Source organism: Homo sapiens, chromosome 2 (genome assembly GCF_000001405.40).
Source record: "Homo sapiens chromosome 2, GRCh38.p14 Primary Assembly".
In the NCBI taxonomy this organism is placed as follows: Eukaryota; Metazoa; Chordata; class Mammalia; order Primates; family Hominidae; genus Homo; species Homo sapiens.
This window is the reverse complement of record NC_000002.12, coordinates 177,318,519-177,337,860: the sequence shown is the minus strand read 5'-3', so window position 1 is coordinate 177,337,860 and position 19,342 is coordinate 177,318,519. Positions and strand designations below refer to the sequence as shown.

Genomic DNA, 19,342 nt, shown 5'->3' with positions numbered 1-19,342 from the left:
GTGGGTGGTTGGGTCAGATATGACAAATCTAATCCAGCATTCCTGTCTCCTAAAATTTAAAATTTTGTTCATTTACATTTTACCTAAGAGATTTGCATCTCAACTTTATTTTGTATGACTCACCCCTCAGTCTAAATGTCAATGAACATTTAGCAGAGCAAACAGAATTATTCCTAGCTTCTCAAACTAGAATAATCCAGAATCTCTTGTAAGCCCTATTAGTAAATTCAACCCAATCTCAAATCATGTCCTCTTCTTCTTCATTCAACATTCTTAAAATCAATTCTAACTCACATCCCACAGATTAATTAGCAAAGTTCTTCAATTTCTTTGGTGCTTGAGATATATCTTACTGAGCTTCACTTTGTAAACTAGCCTCTTGAAGCACAGTAGAATTTTTTTGGGGGTTGGGGCGGGGGACGGAGTCTTGCTCTGTCACCCAGGCTGGAGTACAGTGGCGTGATCTTGGCTCACCACAACCTCCACTTCCTGGGTTCAAGCAATTCTCCTTGCCTCAGCCTCGCGAGTAGCTGGGATTACAGGCACCTGCCATCATCCCTGGCTAATCTTTTGTTATTTTTTTGTAGAGACAGGGTTTCACCATATTGGCCAGGCTGGTCTCAAACTCCTGACCTCAGGTGATCCGCCCACCTCAGCCTCCCAAAGTGCTGGGATTACAGGTGTGAGCCACCGCGCCCAGCGAGTTTGACTCTAATTACAGATCTGGAGATAGTGCAGAGTAAGAGTAGGGTATAAGAGAACCTCCTATAAGGTAACTCCCTCAAACTAGGGAGTTTCAGCCTCTTCAAACAAAGGAGAAATAGCTTTATAATAAAAGCTTCAGCTGCAAAGAAGGCTGAGAGTTTGGGGGCAAGGAATCTCTGCGTTCTTCAAATTCTCCCCTATATAGCATTTTAATTTTAAAGATCTTACTCTTTCGGAATCAGCACTTTAACATATGCTCTTCTAAGACCCCAGGTAAGGAGGTGAATTCGACTGATTTGCAAATCAGCAATCAACAAGAACAAATATTGGTTTATAGCTATCTCCATCCTAGGGCTATAAAAGTTTCTTTTAACAAATTCACAGCTTGGGTTTCAGTTCATGTTTTAAGATGAGAATTTAGAGATTTTCATTTGTTAATGTCTTCAAATGAAGCAGCTAGCCTTAGCACCCAGCTCTTGAATTCCTCATTTCCTTCATACTGTTCTGTGACAACAGCAATTCTCTCCCCCATGGTCTTGTCTTTAATACCCAACTCAATCCTAATGCTCACAGGCATTAATTTCATTAGCTATTTTACTACTATAAGCTGTGGGTTTCCAGAGTCTCATCTTTGAATATTAATTGGTTTTTATTATCTTCAAACACAATGAGTCTGCATACCCAGATTCTCCTGATTTCCCTGAAAGTCTGTTGTGTGTAACCGAATCCCCATTACCAGTTTCTGTACAAGTCAGAATTCCTATTTGCCAGCATTAGTAACCAATTCTAGGTAGATTAAATAGAATGGAATTTACTGAAAGAGTAACAGTATCTATATACAAAGTTATTTGGGAAAGTTAAAAATCAGGCTCAGAAATCAGACAGGAGCCAAAGGAGGCTGGCAGCAGATGAATCAGCCAAGGACCACTGAAGGAATAGTCTGATTAGAATGCTGCCAGAACTTGGTGAAGAACTGTTATAGGAAGAGCCTAAATAGAAACTAAGGACAGTGCCACCACCAGACATTCTCTTCTCCTGAATTACTGACATCATCACTGTCTCAGTAGATAGCTTGATGGTTTCTGCATCTTTGCATCACTCCTTCTGGATTCAATGTGGGAATCCCACTGGACAAACTTCAGTTATGTGCTGATGTCCTTGCTGTCTAGAAGAGGAAGATATGCCTTTTTTCAGTTCCTATAACAGGAAAAGTGTTGAGATGCCAAATACCAAAGCACACAAACCCCAGACACACAAACACATCCAGGACACCATACTTGGGTTTGTTTCTGGACTCACTGTTTTATTGGTTTGTTTGTTTATTTTGCTGTCATTATGCTACTGTTTTAATTTCAGCTGTTTTATCTTTTTTAAAAAATCTAGCAGTTAAAATCCTCCTTCCTCTCAAATGGTTGTCTTTTTTTCTTGACTCTTTTCAGTTTAACTTTTCTCAAGGAACTTCAGAACTCTTTTGTAAAGTTTCAAAAAAAATTCCATTGGCATTTCCATTGGAATTGTATTATATTTATGAATATATTTGGGGAATAATTAAAAAATTTTTAAATGCCGAGTGTTCTTATCCAAGAACATGGTATATCTCTGTTTAAGCCTTGGCAATTTTATAGTTGTCTTCACATAGATTTGACATACTTATTAAGTTTATGTTTTTGTTATTCTGGTAATTACAATTTTTTCCACTTTGTTTTCCTTTAAAAGAGTTTCAAAGCCCCCCTTTTGGACCACAGAAAATCTTAACGTGTTATAACCTAACTATGCAAATAGCTCTGTGATTCTAATTTCTCTTTTAAGCAATATAAATCATTGAACTACATTCTTCCTATGTTTATCCAGCTTTCCTTACCAAATTAAATCTCATACTTTGTAGTGTAAATTTGAGTTTGAAAGTTAAAGGTAAAGAATGTTTTCCAGGGGACTAAAACAGGAAAAATACTGTCAACAGAATTGAATAAATTGGAAGATGGAGGCCACTGCGCTAGTACTACAGTGCCCCCTAGTGGAAAAAAGGAAGCATGGGCATGTTTATACCAAGAATGACCCCAGTCTCTCTTCCACAGGCAATTAGAATCTGGAGGTGTGTTAGTGGTCAACTAGGTCAACTCCTCTGGCTTCCAAAAAGGGAAACTGAGAAACAAAATGAAGAAATGACTGGCCCAAATTCACATTGTCAACCCAAGGCTTAAATCCAAGATTCCTAACTCTCATTTTTCTTCCTTTTTGCTACCCTTTCTTTTTTCTTCCTTCCTAGTTCAAAATATATTGTGCTCTTATTATAAAGCACAATATATTCTAGGAATGTGTTCTAGGAATACAGATATAAAGAAGATTTAGTCGTTGCCTTCAAATCTAGTTTTACTTCAAGCCTAATTTTTTTAGCCATTTTCAGGGAATGAATTTGTTGGGGAATGACCAAACAACTATGCAGGGGAAGGTTCTCAATCATCCACAAATTGACTCACAATATGATTAATTAATTATTGAGTTTTAACTGGAAAGTACAATCACAAATGTGAAAATTGCCCTTGATCAGATTCAGACCATTTCATGAGGAGGTAAGGCATACTTTCAAATGGCCTGCATTAACCTTAATCTTATTTCTCCTTTGCAGATTCAAAACTGTGGACTATCTTGCAAAAAATACAAGAAGATATTGAAAGTTTTCATGAGTGCCTACCACCTAATCTCAAACACTATCATTCATATGTGCCTCATTGAGCAAATCTTTAATGAGGATCTATATGCCAGGTATGTGCTAAGCTCTGTGCTTAGTGTGGCAAAGAGAACAGATATGGCCTTGAGGTTTCTGCTCTCACAAAGCTTATAGTCTCCTATTTGTGTATGTGTAATTCTCTAAAGCTCAGGAAAGCTGTTTTCCTCATTTTTCTTTGGCATCATATTTTTAGGCTATAGAAATCAGAAAGTACGCAAACATTTTCTAAAATTACTCTGCCCCACAAAAAGGGAAACAAAAATAACAATTTGGGGCCAGACAGAACTGGATTTGAATTCCAAGCCTGCCCTTTACAAGCTATTAAACAAGCTTATTCTCTGAGCCCCTGTTGTTTTCATGAAGTGGAAATAATATGTATCCCTTGTAAGGGATCATATCCTTATTAATACCTAAATAGAGACATTACTTTTTGAGTCAAAACTATGAATTATATGGTCCATCTCCTAAAATGCAGAAAAATTATCTAAAGAGAAGCATTATTAATATTGTTCACTTAGTTTCATCAAGAATGTCACTTTCCAGAATTAATACAGACAGATATTCTTTGCCATTGACTTTTTCTTTTTTTTTTTAAATAAGGTGAAATGCTCTAACAATGGATGCCACTATAACAGAGTTTCTGTAAGGCTATTAGTTTCTTTTTCCATGGATAGTTTCCATGGCCTTGCTCCACATAAACTAAACCCTATTATTTCAGTTATGATGACTAAATCTAGTATGACCATTATTTATCTGTATAAGGGATCTTGTAGTAATCTGTGTATAAGCTTATCACTCCATCTATTTAATGATTTGACTAAGTCAAGGATCATATTTTATTTCTCTCTGTTCTCCCCTCCCAGTGGTACCTTACACAGAATTAGAGCACACTAAATGTGTTCTGAGTAAAAAGACTATCTTACTATGTGCTGTTTGACATGTAAGCTGAGAGAGAAAATTTGGCATATGTTGTAGGTAAACTTACTTTGTTTTACCTGGGAGTAGCAAGTATCAAACAGATCCTACTCCTGTTACAATCCTGCTAGAGAAAAAAAGTAGTTAAATTCCCCAGTCTCTACTCAAACCAAAACAAAACTTCAAAAATATTGAGACACAGAGAGAAGGAATAGGATGGGGTCAGGGAGGACTGGTGTTTCTGCGTAGTGTGCATGCAGCAGGCTAATGTCCTTTCCCTGTTGTAATAGCTCCGAATGTAAGCGCCACACAACACCAGGTCTATGAAAAGCCCAGGGTTTCAAGGTCAAACAAGTTTGGGAAAGCTTGCCCAGCATTTTCCTCTCTTGCAAGCTGGCAGTGGACACTGGTAAATTAAAGCCTATAAAAACTGCTTAACATTGTTTTACCTTGCAATCCCCAAATTCATTTGACCAACGTTTCACCTATAAACATCCCGCAGATCTGGTAGATTCTGTGGAAGGCACAGACTTCAGGAAACTGCTCCACTGTGTTGAAAGGACTTCTTTCTCTTGTTAATTCACACACAAAAAGCTGCCATTTTATTTCCAAATCCTACAGAACTGGGAATGTGAGCATTTCCAGCAATGTTTCAACTGTAGAAAAGTGAGACCACTTTCTGACAATTTAGAGGTCCCAGAAAGTTTATACAATTGAATTTTAGGTATGTAAGGAGTCAGTTCGAATCCAGGAAATGGCTTCCCAGCAATGCCTGGAATGTCCTCACAAAAACTGAGAAACAGATATCCAAGTCCTGTTTTGGATCTTGGAGGGACAGAGAGAGAGAAGAGAAAAACATAAATTTATAGTCCCAAATCTCATGATGTTTCTTCCAGTTTTCTACAAATAAATACACAGTATCCACTTTCCCTGAACTCCATCTTGGGACTTTATTTTTGCGTGTTTCCAATTCTCCTCTCTAGATGGCAGCACAGATGAAAAAATGCCAGAAAAACAGCAGGCCAGACTCAGCGGCAGCAAACTGCCATCAACAGCCCTCCCCCAACTCACTCTTCCTTTTTTTTTTTTTTTTTTTAAGAAACAGAATCTAAGATACGATGGCCGACACTTTTTCCCAAATAGATTTAATCAGTTACATGGGAATACAAAAAATGACTGACGACACACCGATATTAGTGATCAGGGGAACTGACTCTAACAGTGTCTCTTACATGTTACTTGTGTTTTCTGTATCTTAAAGATAATGTAGGCATTGTTCCTAAGTCATGCAGAGGGGTTGTGTAAGCATGGTCATTTGCATCATTATCCTGCACGTCTGATACAGCCAAACTCCACGCCACCTGGTTTGCTGTAAGTATTGGATTCATTTAAGATCCATAACAATGCTATTTACTGACCCTCTTGTCAACTGATGCTGTGACACTGCTGTAAAATGATCCCTATGTCACCAGATGCTGCCCTGAAACTTAGGAAGTTAGCATGAAGGTAATACTTCATTAGAAGTTTGCAATTTATGGGTGAATTAATAATGCAAGAGAAAAGGAATAGAACAGACATAGAGAGAAGACCTTTGAGGTTTACATCAAACCCCATCAAAAGAGATTTAAAAAAAAAAAAACCTTACCCTGCAGGGGTTCATTGAATCTCATCATTAATAAAATAGGGTCTATCAGCAAGATGTTTTTAACAAAATCTGCTGACAGGGAAAACATAAGAAAACTGGCCCCTACAATGTATGACATTTCAAGGGCTCAAGAGTGTTCTAAAGAAAACCAAATTGTTCATGTGTAATGAACTGGACAGAAGCTAAAAGGTGACCTGTGTCTTTTAAACAGCAACAGCAAAAGACACGGCCGGGTGCGGTGGCTCACCCCTTTAATCCCAGCACTTTGGAAGGCCGAGGCGGGCGGATCATTTGAGGTGAGGAGTTCAAGACCAGCCTAGCCAACATGGTGAAACCCAGTCTCTACTAAAAATACAAAACATTAGTGAGACGTGGTGGTGTGCTCCTGTCATCCTAGCTACTCGGGAGGCTGAGGCATAAGAATCACTTGAACCCCAGAGGCAGAGGTTGCAGTGAGCCAAGAAGGCACCACTGAACTGCAGGGGAGAAAAAAAAAAAGAAAGAAGAAAAGATCACCATGGCAATAAAAACAAATATAGTGCATAAATAAACCAACCTGAGGCCAAAACAAAAAACTAAGTGAATCTTTCATATTTAAGAAAAAAAATCAATTTTTGTTGTGTCAGAGAACTTTTAAATTCTGTCTCTATCCTTTTTGTTTTTTCTTTTTTGAGATGGAATCTCACTCTGTCACCCAGGCTGGAGTGCAATGGAGTGATCTTGGCTCACTGCAACCTCCACCTCCTGGGTTCAAGCAATTATCCTGCCTCAGCCTCCTGAGTAGCTGGGATTACAGGCATGCACCACCACACCCGGCTAATTTTTGTATTTTTAGTAGAGACAGGGTTTCACCATGTTGGTCAGGCTGGTCTCGAACTCCTGACCTCGTTATCTTCCTGCCTCAGCCTCCCAAAGTGCTGGGATTACAGGCGTGAGCCACTGTACCTGGCCCCATTTTTTTTTTTAAGTGAAAGCAGTCTTTCCACAAGATTACTCTAAACACCACATCTTTCCTTAAATGAGTACCTTTGATAATTAGTGTGGGTTGAAATTAGTTAATATTATAATGGGTCAGGCTATCTGTCTTTGCCAACGCAACTCCTAGTGCTCTAAGGATACTGAATACTTTTTCCTGGGCTCTAAGTTTAGAGACAAAATCAAGCCCTAAAATGAACATGCAGAGAGGTACTGAGACAGTATGGCATATGAGGGAGTGAAGGAGCTGGGACAGGCCTGCATTCATCTCAAAGACCACACCAGTCCAGTGCTACACACCAGCAACCCTCAGCTCTGAACCTATCCCTGGAATCAATACTCAGCTCACTCCTTCCAGAGACTCAGGAGCCTTGGAAGTATGACACACCCAGGACAAAGCTGAAGGCTAAGAGGCCTAAATGTTCTTCCACTCCCACTAATTCTGCATCTGTGCAGCCCACTAAACCCACCATCCCTCAGACCCTCAGTATCCTTAATGTGTGTCCTAGAGGGAGTTCTTTCAATGAGTTATCCTTTTATGAACTCTCATCCTCATACTAGACTCAGTTTCCCATTCCACCCTGTGGTATTGTGACAAGAAATATATTTTTGGGCCAGGCGCAGTGGCTCATGCATGTAATTCTAGCACTTTGGGAGGCCAAGGCAGGTGGATCACAAGGTCAGGAGTTCAAGACCTGCCTGGCCAAGATGGTAAAACCCTGTCTCTACTAAAAATACGAAAATTAGCTGGGCGTGGTGCCAGGAGCCTGTAATCCCAGCTACTCGGGAGGCTGAGGCAGGAGAATCACTTGAACCCAGGGGGCAGAGGTTGCAGTGAGCTCAGATTGCGTCACTGCACTACAGCCTGGGTAACAGGGTGACTCAAAAAAAAAAAAAGGAAAAGAAATATATATCTGGTCTCTTCCCCTGGTTCCTGGCACACAGCTCCTAAAACCCTTGGACTCTCCAGAGTGATAAGAGTGCCTTTGGTATGCTAATAAGACATTGGTGGCTGGGGAGCCCTAGATAGCTTCAAGAGGGGTGCTGATCACCGGAAAGACCAAGGCATGATTAGAGGGTTGGGACTTTCAGCCTTACCTTCCAACTTCTAGAGAGGGTAGAGGGGCTGAAAGATGAGTTGATTACCAATGGCCAATGATGTAATTAATCATGCCTACCTAATAAAGCCTCCATAAAAACCCAAAGGACAGAGTTCTGAGAGCTTCCAGGTTGCTGAACATGTAGAGGTCCCTGGAGGGTGGAATGTCTATAAAGGGCAGGGAAGTTTCATGCCTCTTCCCCCATCCCTCGCCCTGTGCATCTCTTCCATCTGGCTATTCATCTATATCCTTTGTAACATCCTGTATTAGTCCCTTCTCGCTGCTATAAATACCTAAGATTGGGTAATTTATAAAGAAAAGAGGTTTAATCGGCTCAGAGTTCAGCAGGCTGTTCAGAAAGCACAGCAGCTTCTGCTTCTGAAGAGGCCTCAGGAAACTTACAATTATGGTGGAAGGAGAAGAAGAAACACACACATCTTACATAGCCAGAGCAGAAGGAAGAGAGAGAGTGGGGAGATGCCACACACTTTTAAACAACCAGATCTTGAAAGCACTCACTCACTGTCACAAGAGCAGCACCAGGGAGGAAATCCGCCCCCATGATCCAATCACCTCCCACCAGGCCCCACCTCCAACACTGAGGATTACAATTCGATGAGAGATTTGGGTGGGGACACAGATCCAAACCACATCACATGCTTTGTGATGAATGGGTAATGTAAGCGGTGTTTCCCTGAGTTCTGTGAGCTGCTCTAACAAACTAATTGAACCCGAGGAGCAGAATCCTCATAGGAACCCCCAATTTATGACCAGTCGTCAGAAGTATAGGTAACAACCTACTACTTGGAATTGGCATCTGAAGTGGAAGCAATCTTGGGAGACTGAGCCTTCTGCCTGTGGGATCTAATGCTATCTCCACGTAGATAGTGATTATAGGAAAATTGTGTTAAATTATAGGATAATTATGTCCACTGAAGAATTGGTTGTAGGTAGAGGAAAACCTCCAGACATTTTGGTGACTGGAAGTGTTGTATTGGTTGAGTATGTGAGATTACGAAAAACTTTTTTTCTTATATCTCTTACATTCCCTTTCCTCTAAAACTTTTCCTCTATGACGTTGGGAATCTCATTCCATCGTCAGCAAACTCCCTGATACACCCAGCCTCTTCAATGACCATTGTTTATTATTATTATACTTTAAGTTCTAGGGTACATGTGCACAACGTGCAGGTTTGTTACATACGTATACATGTGCCATGTTGGTGTGCTGCACCCAATAATTCGTCATTTACATTAGGTATTTCTCCTAATGCTATCCCTCCCCCTCTTTAGCTATCTAGGTATTTCTGTGAAACATACCTGACTTCTCAGTTTCTTGATTCCATCTCCAATTACCTTCTCCATTGTGCTTCAATCACTCAATCCCATGGCCACCCCTAGGCCATGTCTTCAACAAACCACAGCACCTCTGAACCCTTGACTTTTAAGTCCTCCAATTCTTTTCATTTGGTTATTTTCACTACGTTTATCTTCCAAACTTATTAAGATCTGCAGTCTTTCTGCTTTCTCCTTTCTCTTTATCTATAATAAGCTTGCTGTCCCCTATTCCTTATCTACTGAGGAAGGACTCCATGACTCATAACATTGGCCTCTGACCGGTGTTCTCAACTCCATTACTTCATTATTCTTCTGGTTTATCTGCCTGACAAATTTTAGAGTGTATACCCTGAATCCAGCTGTCTGTCTTGGCCATTCCTTTACCTAGGCTGTTGGGCACTGTAGGAAAAAAATCACCCTGTCACACAGATTGGGGCTACCTTAAATTTATGCTCAGCAACCTCAAGTGGGACCTCACTGCTGCCTGCAGTCCTACTCTATTCCCCGGCCTGCTTGTTTTCTCAGCCTCCAGAGGGGCTATTTCAAGGATTTGCCTCTTCCTGCACCTCCCTATGTTGGCCTCTCTACCTTCTCATTCTCAATTGGTGATTTTTTTTCCCCCACATATCAGAGTTGGGTGGGTGTGGATGTTATGAGATGTGAGCAGTCTCAGTTTTCCATAACAACCTATACACTTTTTTTTTTTTTTTTTGAGACAGGGTCTCACTCTGTCGCCCAGGCTGGAGTGCAGTGGCATGATCATGGCTAACTGCAGCCTCAACCTCCTGGGTTCAGGTGATCCTCCCACCTCAGCCTCCTGAGTAGCTGGGACTACAGGCGCATGCCACCACACCTGGCTAATTTTTTGTAGAGATGGGATTTCCCATGTTGTCCAGGCTGGTCTCAAACTCCTGAGCTCAAGCAATCCACCTGCCTTGGCCTCCCAAAGTGCTGGCATTACAGGCATGAGCCACCACACCCACCCACAACCTATAAACTTACTTGCATCTTTATACATTTTTTTGACCTTGCCTCTTATTATAACAGAAAAACTCCCCCTACCTCCATCCAAGGCCAATCTCTTGGCCTGATGCTCTGGGTCCCATCTCTCTCTGACTTCCCATTGACCTCACTCTCTCAGTTATTCCTTCATACTCCTACCTTTATATTCAACCCCTTCCTCTCCACTGGCTCCTCCCTTCTCAGACTAAAAAAGCCACATCCTCTTCCATCTACCGTCCTCTCTTCTCTTGCCAGTTAAACTTTTTGGAAAAGTTGTCCACTCACTGTTTTAACTTCCTCACCTCCCACTCACTCTCCAAAATTCCTCTCTCCAAAATAACCCATGATCTCCATGTAGCTAAATTCAAGGGGCACTTTTCAGTTCTCTCCTTATTTGACCTGATGGCAGCATTTAACATATCCTCCTTTTTGATACTTTCTCTTTCCTGAGTATCTATGGCACTATCTACCTGCTCCCAGATAGCTCTCTCCATCTCCAACCCTTCTCTTGAGCTTCAGACCCTATAGGTTCCACAGGCATCTTAAACTCAAACTGAACTCATTTTCTCTTCAAATCTGTGTATCTCCTCCTGAGTTCCCCCTGGAGGTAGCAAGCACTGCCATGGACTCATTGCTGCAGCTAGTCACTTGTGTATCATTCCTCACTGTTCTCATCATCATACCTCATGTCCAATTGCATCACCAAGAACTCTTGATCCTGCCACCTGAATACCTCTCCTACCTTTTTTCTTGTCTTCTTTCCCCTCTACTCTCATCAGGTCTCACCTAAACCCCTGTTTCCAATCTTCATCTCAAACCATTCACCATGCAGTAGCCATGTGAGTGTAATGAGCAAGGAGTCTCACAGATGCAAGAGTCCACAAACCCTCAGGTGTGCAGTCATGGGATGTTTTTTCCTGGAGTAAATTTGATTTTGGAATCTGAACCTCCAGCCTTCCTCCTGGTGGACAACTTCATCTAGATTATCTTAAATGAATTCAGTGATTTGTCAACTGAGATTCCATAAATACTTCAGTTCAGAATTCAGTTTCAAACCTTCCTTCCCCTGTTCTTGCCTCTTACTCTTGGGCCTCTTGGGGCTGGCTACCCAAGGGAAGTGGGGAAGAAGATGGAGGTCCATGTGTGAGTAGCGGGTGGGGCTGGGGGAGCTGTCCATCTAGTCATTTCTGGGGTCACTCTAAAGCTAGCCTGAGCCGCTAATACCATTGTTGCCTATGCTCTCAGCACAGGCAGGCCCCAGTGTGCTGTCTAAAGTACCAGATCCTGCTAGCTTTGAAGGGTGGGGATGGGCTGTCTGGGTGCACATGCAGGTCCCATGTAGCTTCATCTCAGAAAGGGGCAGCCATGTCCCCCATAATGCCACGAAGTAATCCAGGAACATTCCTTCCTTTTGCCCTGCACATCTGCTTTCTGATCAGATCATTTCTTCTCCCCTCACAGCATAGAGGTGAAAAACCAATTCACATTTACACATTTGTATGAGTTGGTTTCATTTTAATTGTTTCATTTCTGAGTTAAAGTGCAGAGCCCTTTGTATTTAAATTGTGCAATGTAGAGTCTAGATTTCTCTCAGCAGCAGACAATCTCTACAATCATTAATTTGCTTTCCACTCTCCTGGCGAAAGAGTGAGGTGGGGTGTGTGCATGTTTGTCTATGTATGTGTATGTTGGTGGCAGGCAAGGAGCAGATGGGCAGCCCAGAGCCCAAGTAGAGAAATGAGTGGAGAGAATACATTCCATTAATACTTCACATATTATCCTGTCATGTGTTCTTTCTAAATCACAAATCTGAACAGGTCTTTCACTGTGTAAGCATCACTTACAGATGCTTAAAGCCATCTGTAGCTTCCCCATTGCCTTTAGGATAAAGTCTAAACATGTAAACTTGATTTACAAGTTAAGATCTGTTTACAGATGACCTTTCCCACCTCATTTGCCACAGTTTCCTCTCTTCTGTCCGTTCCATGGGTTCACTGTACTCTGTTGCCTCTGGACTGTCTCACATTCCTAGAAAATTCTCTTCAACTTTTCCCTACACCTCACTAATTCCTGCACATTCCTCTGATCTCCAGTTAAACACCACCTCTTCCCTAAGTCCTCCTTGACCTCCCTCCTACCTCTGACTTTGATTTGTCCCTGCTATGCACACCCATAACCTTCTCATATCATAGCACTTATCATATTCTAACTATTTTGTTTGTTTTCCCACTTGACTATTAATGCTTTTAAGACAAGAATATCTGTCTCGATCAGTGTTCACTCTCCAGCACTAGCACGTATCTGACACCTGATAGGTACTCAATAAATATCGTTAAATAATAAATGAATGAATGACTGAAGAATAAATTGAATGTGCAAGCCAGGTGCTGGCTTCATGTGCCCTGTCTTATAGCAGGACTTAGTACTTTATTGTGTTTCCCCAAAAGCAAATAAACTCCACAGAGTAGAGGTGAGTAATGTGGATTTGACCAACAATTTTATGAGGAGACATAAAAGGAGGTTTAAATGGAGACATTTCTATTCTCCCCTCAGTGTTCCTCTTTGGTTTCCAGATATTGGGTCTTCCTCTCTTTTGACCCTCCCTTCCTCCCATTCTCTCACCCCCAACTCAGCCTCTACTTCCCTTTTCTAGGCAGTATCACTCTGAGAGGACTATGGAGGATGAATCGGAGAGAAGTGAGGCTAGTATCAGGGAGTTCCATTTAATAGACAATTTAATGAGGCCAGGCAGAGATGATGAAGGCCTGAGTTAAGAAAATGACAAAATGGCCTGAATCCCAGGACTTTGGAGCCCCAGGTGGGAGGATTGCTTGAAACCAGGAGTTCAAGACCAGCTTGGGCAACATAGTGAGACCCTGTCTCTACAAAATAGAAATTTTTAAAAAGGGAAAAGAAAATGACAAAATGAAGAGGAGGGGGTGGGTTTAGGAGATGTTTGGGAGGGAAGATCAATAGGATGTGAGAACTGATTGGATTGGAGTAGAAGAGAAAGAGGAATATAGGGCATGTGTCAAGGTTTGGTGAATGCAAAAGGAGAAATAAAGAAAAGAAGAGAAGAGTAAAAAGGGTAGGGGTTGAGAGTTCCATAGGATTAGAGTTATTACCAAGGGACGTATAAAAGAGAATTAAGTGGAGAAGGACCAGTATAAGGATTATAATCACCTGAGAATCTAACAGGTTAGAGACCAAAACTGGTATGGGCACTAGTATTTAAATTGTGTAATGTAGAGCCTGGGTCCCTCTCAGTGTCAGACGATCTCCACAATTGTTAATTTGCTTTCCACTCTACTGACAAAAGAGTCAGGTGGGGTGTGCGTGTGTTTGTCTGGGTATGTGTGTGTTGATGGGGGTAAAGGGGCAGGTTGGCAACCCAGGTAGAAGGGAAATAATTGTGTGATTTTCTTTAATAACTTGGGCTGCCAATGGTAAGAGCTGAGAAAATGGGTGGTAGGTTGATCCAAGACTTGGGATTTCTGAGACGATGGGGCAGAAGGATCAAGGGGCGAAATGATGGATGATTTTATGAAAACAATGTTCAAAGTGATGGACAATGGCATCTAGGCTCAACAGGGATAGAAATGAGCCAGGATGGGGCTGACAGATTGAGGGGGGAGGGTGGGGATAAAAGAGCAGGGGCCATGCCTGGTGCAATGTTTACAGGAAATAGGAGTCCATAGGATGCAGGACCCAAAAGGAAAACAAATTGTGGAAAGGAGAAGTTACTCTTCCTTCTCTGAAATGAAACAGAAAAAGAGATATCATCTTTAAGTATTTCTCAGTAGAGAAAAAGCAATGAGAGGATACCCACATTGGAGAATCTTGATTTCTTCTATTAAGCAAAAGGAGAAAGTTGCATACAGTGGGACTGGGGCTTGAAGGAAACAGGAAGGATTTAGAAAAGGAAAAGTGAGGACTGTGGAAGGAAGGAAATTTTGAAAAATCAGAGAATTACCTGGGAGTAGTAAAGGCTCAGCTGGGACCAGTCAGCTGATATTGGCTTGGGTCAGATTTTTACATTTTTAATTTAATTTTCAGCAATATCTTTTGCTTGGGAGCAGAAACAGAAAGTACATGATGGACTTCATTGAAGGATGGAGATTTGGAAGACATGAATGGATGAAGAACCAAGTGCGTGAGGGCACCTATCAGGATTATTGCTGAAATCCTTATGGAGTTAACTGGCTGAGAGGAAGGCAAGCAAGCGAGGACTGATGGGCCCTTGGCACTGTGAGAACAGTGGAGGAGGAGGGAGCAGGGTTCATAAGGAGGAGCACAAACAGAAAGTTCAGTGGCCCCAATAAAAATAACACCAGAATCTTCCAGATACTTTCTCCATAAGGCGAAAAGGTAAATGCCCCTTTAAATCATTAACTAAACTGGCACTTAGATCTGGGCAGGCTCTCCCAGATTGGGCTGTTCCGTTTTGCCAGGAATTGATAAACTTCTGTGACCCCTCCAGGGTGAGTGAGCATGATCCATCTTCCCTGTCTGGACAAGTTTGATCCAGCCTCCTTCCTCCTGCTGAAGCAGGCCTGAGGTGTGTGCCAGGATTCCATGTCTTATGCTAATACTCACATTCCACATACCGGCTCTTGCTGGTACTGCCTTTAGGCTTTTAGAAGGCCGTGCTTTTACCCTCCCTGGCTGCACCCCTTACTACAGGGTGAGGAGACTGTGGCACCTAGGGGATGTGTCCACTCAGAACCACATTACCACATTGCTCCCTTCTAGACCACACTCTGGATAACTTGGACCACCTCAGGATTCCTTGCTCAAATGCCCCAAGCCCACTTCCAGGGCCTGCCTAGACTTCTTTTCCAGACCCATCCTCCCAAGGGCAAACCATGCCACTAGTGTGTGTGGTCAGCCTGAGAGGTAGCCAAGGATAGCCTATTTGCAGAGGCATGCACAGGGTATGGATGCGTGAACTGGGGCATCTACATGCATGCATGAGAGGGCCTTCTCATTCAGAGTCAAGGATGGGAGGAGAGGGGAACGTTTCAGGTTGGGGTCCAGCTCTCTCCATGCCTCTTTGTCCTGGTGCAGAACTCTAAGGATTCCAAGCATTGCACATTCAAACCTGACCTTCAGGTCTTTTGGAAGTTAGAGTTATCAAGGTAGGAAAATGGAACATATTTTATTTAACAGTTTGACTTGACTTATAACTTTCTTTTTTTTTTTTTTTTTTTTTTAGACGGAGTCTCGCTCTGTTGCCCAGGCTGTAGTTCAGTGGTGCAATCTCAGCTCACTGCAAGCTCTGCCTCCCGGGTTCATGCCATTCTTCTGCCTCAGCCTCCCGAGTAGCTGGGACTACAAGCGCCTGCTACCACGCCTGGCTAATTTTTTGTATTTTTTAGTAGAGACGGAGTTTCACCATGTTAGCCAGGATGGTCTCGATCTCCTGACCTTGTGATCCACCCATCTCGGCCTCCCAAAGTGCTAGGATTACAGGCATGAGCCACCACGCCCAGCCAACTTATAACTTTTATATCATTAGACACATGGAATATGGGCCTCCGTTTGTACTCTTGCCCTTGGCCCCACAAACGTTAGGGAGAGGCCTGGCTCCTGCAATGTACTATTTACCTGTTGTAAAGAATAGCCCTTCAAAAGTATTATTCTAAGTCTGTTTGACATAATAGGTCCAAATTGTATTACAACATGGTAAAAAAACAACAATCCATTAACAATCCTCTTTGGATTTCTAAAAAAGTTTTGGTAGCCTAAACTCTTTCCCCAATTTTTGATATCACTTCATGTCATTTTAGAGAGTAAGTTTTCCTGTTTTATTAATGTTTATATTTAAGCTGAATTTTCTAAAAGAATTGTGAGTGTTTTTATTCTATTGTGACATTCAAGGTACGCAGCTGACCCTTGAGTATAAGTCCCATCAACTAAGTAAACATCAAACATATCTTCAGTACATCCCTTTAGATCTTGACAGTTATTTATCACTTTTTCATAAGTTCCAAAGTTCCAGATGGTTACTGATACATTCAGGCTGACCACTGCTAGATTTGAGACTTGTCCCACAGATCTGCACTGTATCTTCATACCTTCATTAATAGATCTTTTATTCTTTTTTTTTTTAATTTTTTTGGAGACGTGGGTCTCATTATGTTGCCCAGGCTGGTCTTGAACTTCTGGCCTCAAGTGATCCTCCCAACTCAGCCTCCCAAAGTATTGGAATTATAGGTGTGAGCCACTACACCCAGCCTAGATCTCAATCAGGTGACACTGAAAATGTTTGGTCATAAACCACAGTGAAGGAAGGGGAGGCAGCTGTTAGATCATCTGCCTTGACCCACAGTCCTCATCCATTTGCACCTTGGCAAGCCCTCTACTACATCTGAATCTCGAAATGGGGGATAACCTCTTGGGAGAGTCTATGCTAGTACCCTTCTAGTAGTAGTTTACAATCTGCCAACAAATCTTGAAGCCTTATTTGGTTGATATCAATTTGAGAGGTGGGAGGTTCAGTTTCCAAAGAGTCAGGAAAGAGCATTCATCTAGGCTTGAGAAGCCTCCATTTCCTAACTCAAGAGTTCTGATTAGGTTGTTGGTTGAGTGACACAAGGCAATCATCTCACTTTTCTGTTCCTGAGCTTCTCCTTTTATAGAATGTGGGCAGGAGTGTGGAGAGGGAGAATTTATTTCATTTCCTGTTTTCCAAACTTACTAAACTGTGGAAACTTTTTCTTTTGCAGCATTGGGCAAAACTGATGTTCTAAGGAACATTCTTTAGGAAAGGTTAGCCAGATCCGTGGTTCTCAACAGGCATGTGGTACACATTTAATAATGTCTGGAGACGTTTTTGGTTGTCACAACTGGGGATCCAGGGATGCTGCTAAACATCCTGCAATGCCTAGGACAGCCCTCCACAACGGAGAATTATCCAACTCAAAATGCCAATCATTCTAAGGGGTTGAAAAACTCTGGACTATATGAACTATCTCAATTCTCTTTCAACACTAACATTTAAATGTGGTGTTTCTTGTTTTTTAAACACACAAAATTTTATTTCTGTTTTACACAAAGTCAGCTATGGGTATGGATGAATCTGCGGACAGTTTTCTTCCATGTGTTGGCTCCATATTTCAGCTGCTTTGATCTTTTTGACATCTTATCAATGTGTTCTTCTATGATTTCCTTGGCAGAGAAAGAGAAAGCAGAGAGAATCATGTGCTGGATCTTAAATGCTTCTACGTGGATGTAGTAAATGTCTCTTCTACTTTTTTTAAATAAGAAGTGTATTAAAATATAATCCATGTATCATATAATTTACTCATTTAAGGCATAAAATTCGGCTGGGTATGGTGGCTCACACCTGTAATCCCAGCACTTTGGGAGGTTGAGGTGGGGTGAATCTCTTGAGCCCAGGAGTTTGAGACCAGACTGGGCAACATGGCAAAACCCCATCTCTACAAAAAATACAAAAATTAGCCAGGTGTGGTGGCACGCACCTGTAATCCCAGCTATTTGGGAGGTTGAGGTGGGAGTATTGCTTGAGTTTTGAAGGCAGAGGTTGCAGTGAGCCAAGATTGTGCCACTGCACTCCAGCCAGGGTGACAGAGTGAGACTGTCTCAAAAAAAATTTTTCAGCTAAAATAAAGTGTAAAACTCTGTAGTTTTTAGTGTATCCACAAAATGTGTGCAATCGTCTCTACACTCAATTTTAGAACATTTGAATCACCCCCAGAAGAAACACTGTACCTATTAACAGCCATTCCCAATTTTCCCTCAACACCTCCACCTCAGCCCTAGGCAACCACTAACCTATTTTCTATCTCTATAGGTTTACCTATACTGGATATTACATATAAATGGAATCATGTCCTTTGTAACTGTCTTCTTTCACTTTGCATAATGTTTTCAAGGTTCATTCATGTTGCATCCTTCTCAATATTTCATTTTTATTGCTGAATAATATTCCATTGTATGAATATAACACATTTTATTTATCCATTCATCGCTTGATGGATATATGAGCCATTTCTACTTTTTAGATATTCTGAATAATGCTGCTATGAATACTTATATGCAAGTTTTTACATGGACGTATGTCTTCATTTCTCTTAGGTTATATATCTAAGAAAGGAATTACTGAATCATACGATAACTTTATGCTTAGACTTTTGAGAAACTGCCAGACTGCTCTCCAAAATGACTGTGCCATTTTACATTCCCAAAAGTAATGTATGAAGTTTCTAATTTTTCCACACCCTCACCAACACTTATTATCTGTGTTTTTGATTCTTGCCATCCTAGTGTGTGTGAAGTAGTTTCTCACTGTGATTTGTATTTGAATCTTCTTGAAGGCTAATGATTTTGAGCATCTTTTCATGTGCTTATCGTCTCTTCTTTATATAGATGTCTATTCAGGTCCTTGGCCCATTTTTAATTTGGGCTATTTGTCTTTTCATTACTGAGTTTTAAGAATAATTTTTGTTTATTCTAGACACACATCCCATATTAGATAGGTGATTTGCAACTATTTCCTCCCATTCTGTAGGTTTCTTGCTGGTGTCCTTTTAGGAATAGAAGTTTTACGTTTTGATGAAGTCAAGTGTGTATGTTTTCTTTTGTTGCTTGTGTGTTTGATCTCATATCAAAAAACCATTGCACAATCCAAGGCCACAAAGAGTTATGTCTATGTTTTCTAGATTTTTATCATTTTAGTGCTTACATTTAGGTCTTTGATCTTTTTGTGTTAATTTTTTATATTGGGTGTGAGGTAAAAATCCAACTTCATTCTTTTGCATGTGATATCCAATTATCCAGAACCACTTGTTGAGAAGGCTAGTTCTTCCTCACTGGATTATCTTGGCACCCTTGTCAAAAATAAGTTGACTGTAGATGTGAAGGTGTATGAGTTGCTAAAATACCTCTTCTGTGATATTTATAATTTATTTT

The 19,342-nt window shown here is 41.3% G+C and overlaps 1 long non-coding RNA gene across 1 annotated transcript in view; it reads left to right on the top strand.

The window, feature by feature from the left end:
• Positions 1–19,342, top strand: part of LOC100130691 (Putative uncharacterized protein FLJ44553) — a 109,184-nt gene that overhangs the window by 54,831 nt on the left and 35,011 nt on the right. The window contains exons 3-6 of the long non-coding RNA NR_026966.1: positions 3,332–3,468; positions 5,610–5,719; positions 6,205–6,289; positions 14,465–14,622. This is a non-coding gene — a long non-coding RNA (Putative uncharacterized protein FLJ44553). The remainder of the gene's footprint in view (positions 1–3,331; positions 3,469–5,609; positions 5,720–6,204; positions 6,290–14,464; positions 14,623–19,342) is intronic.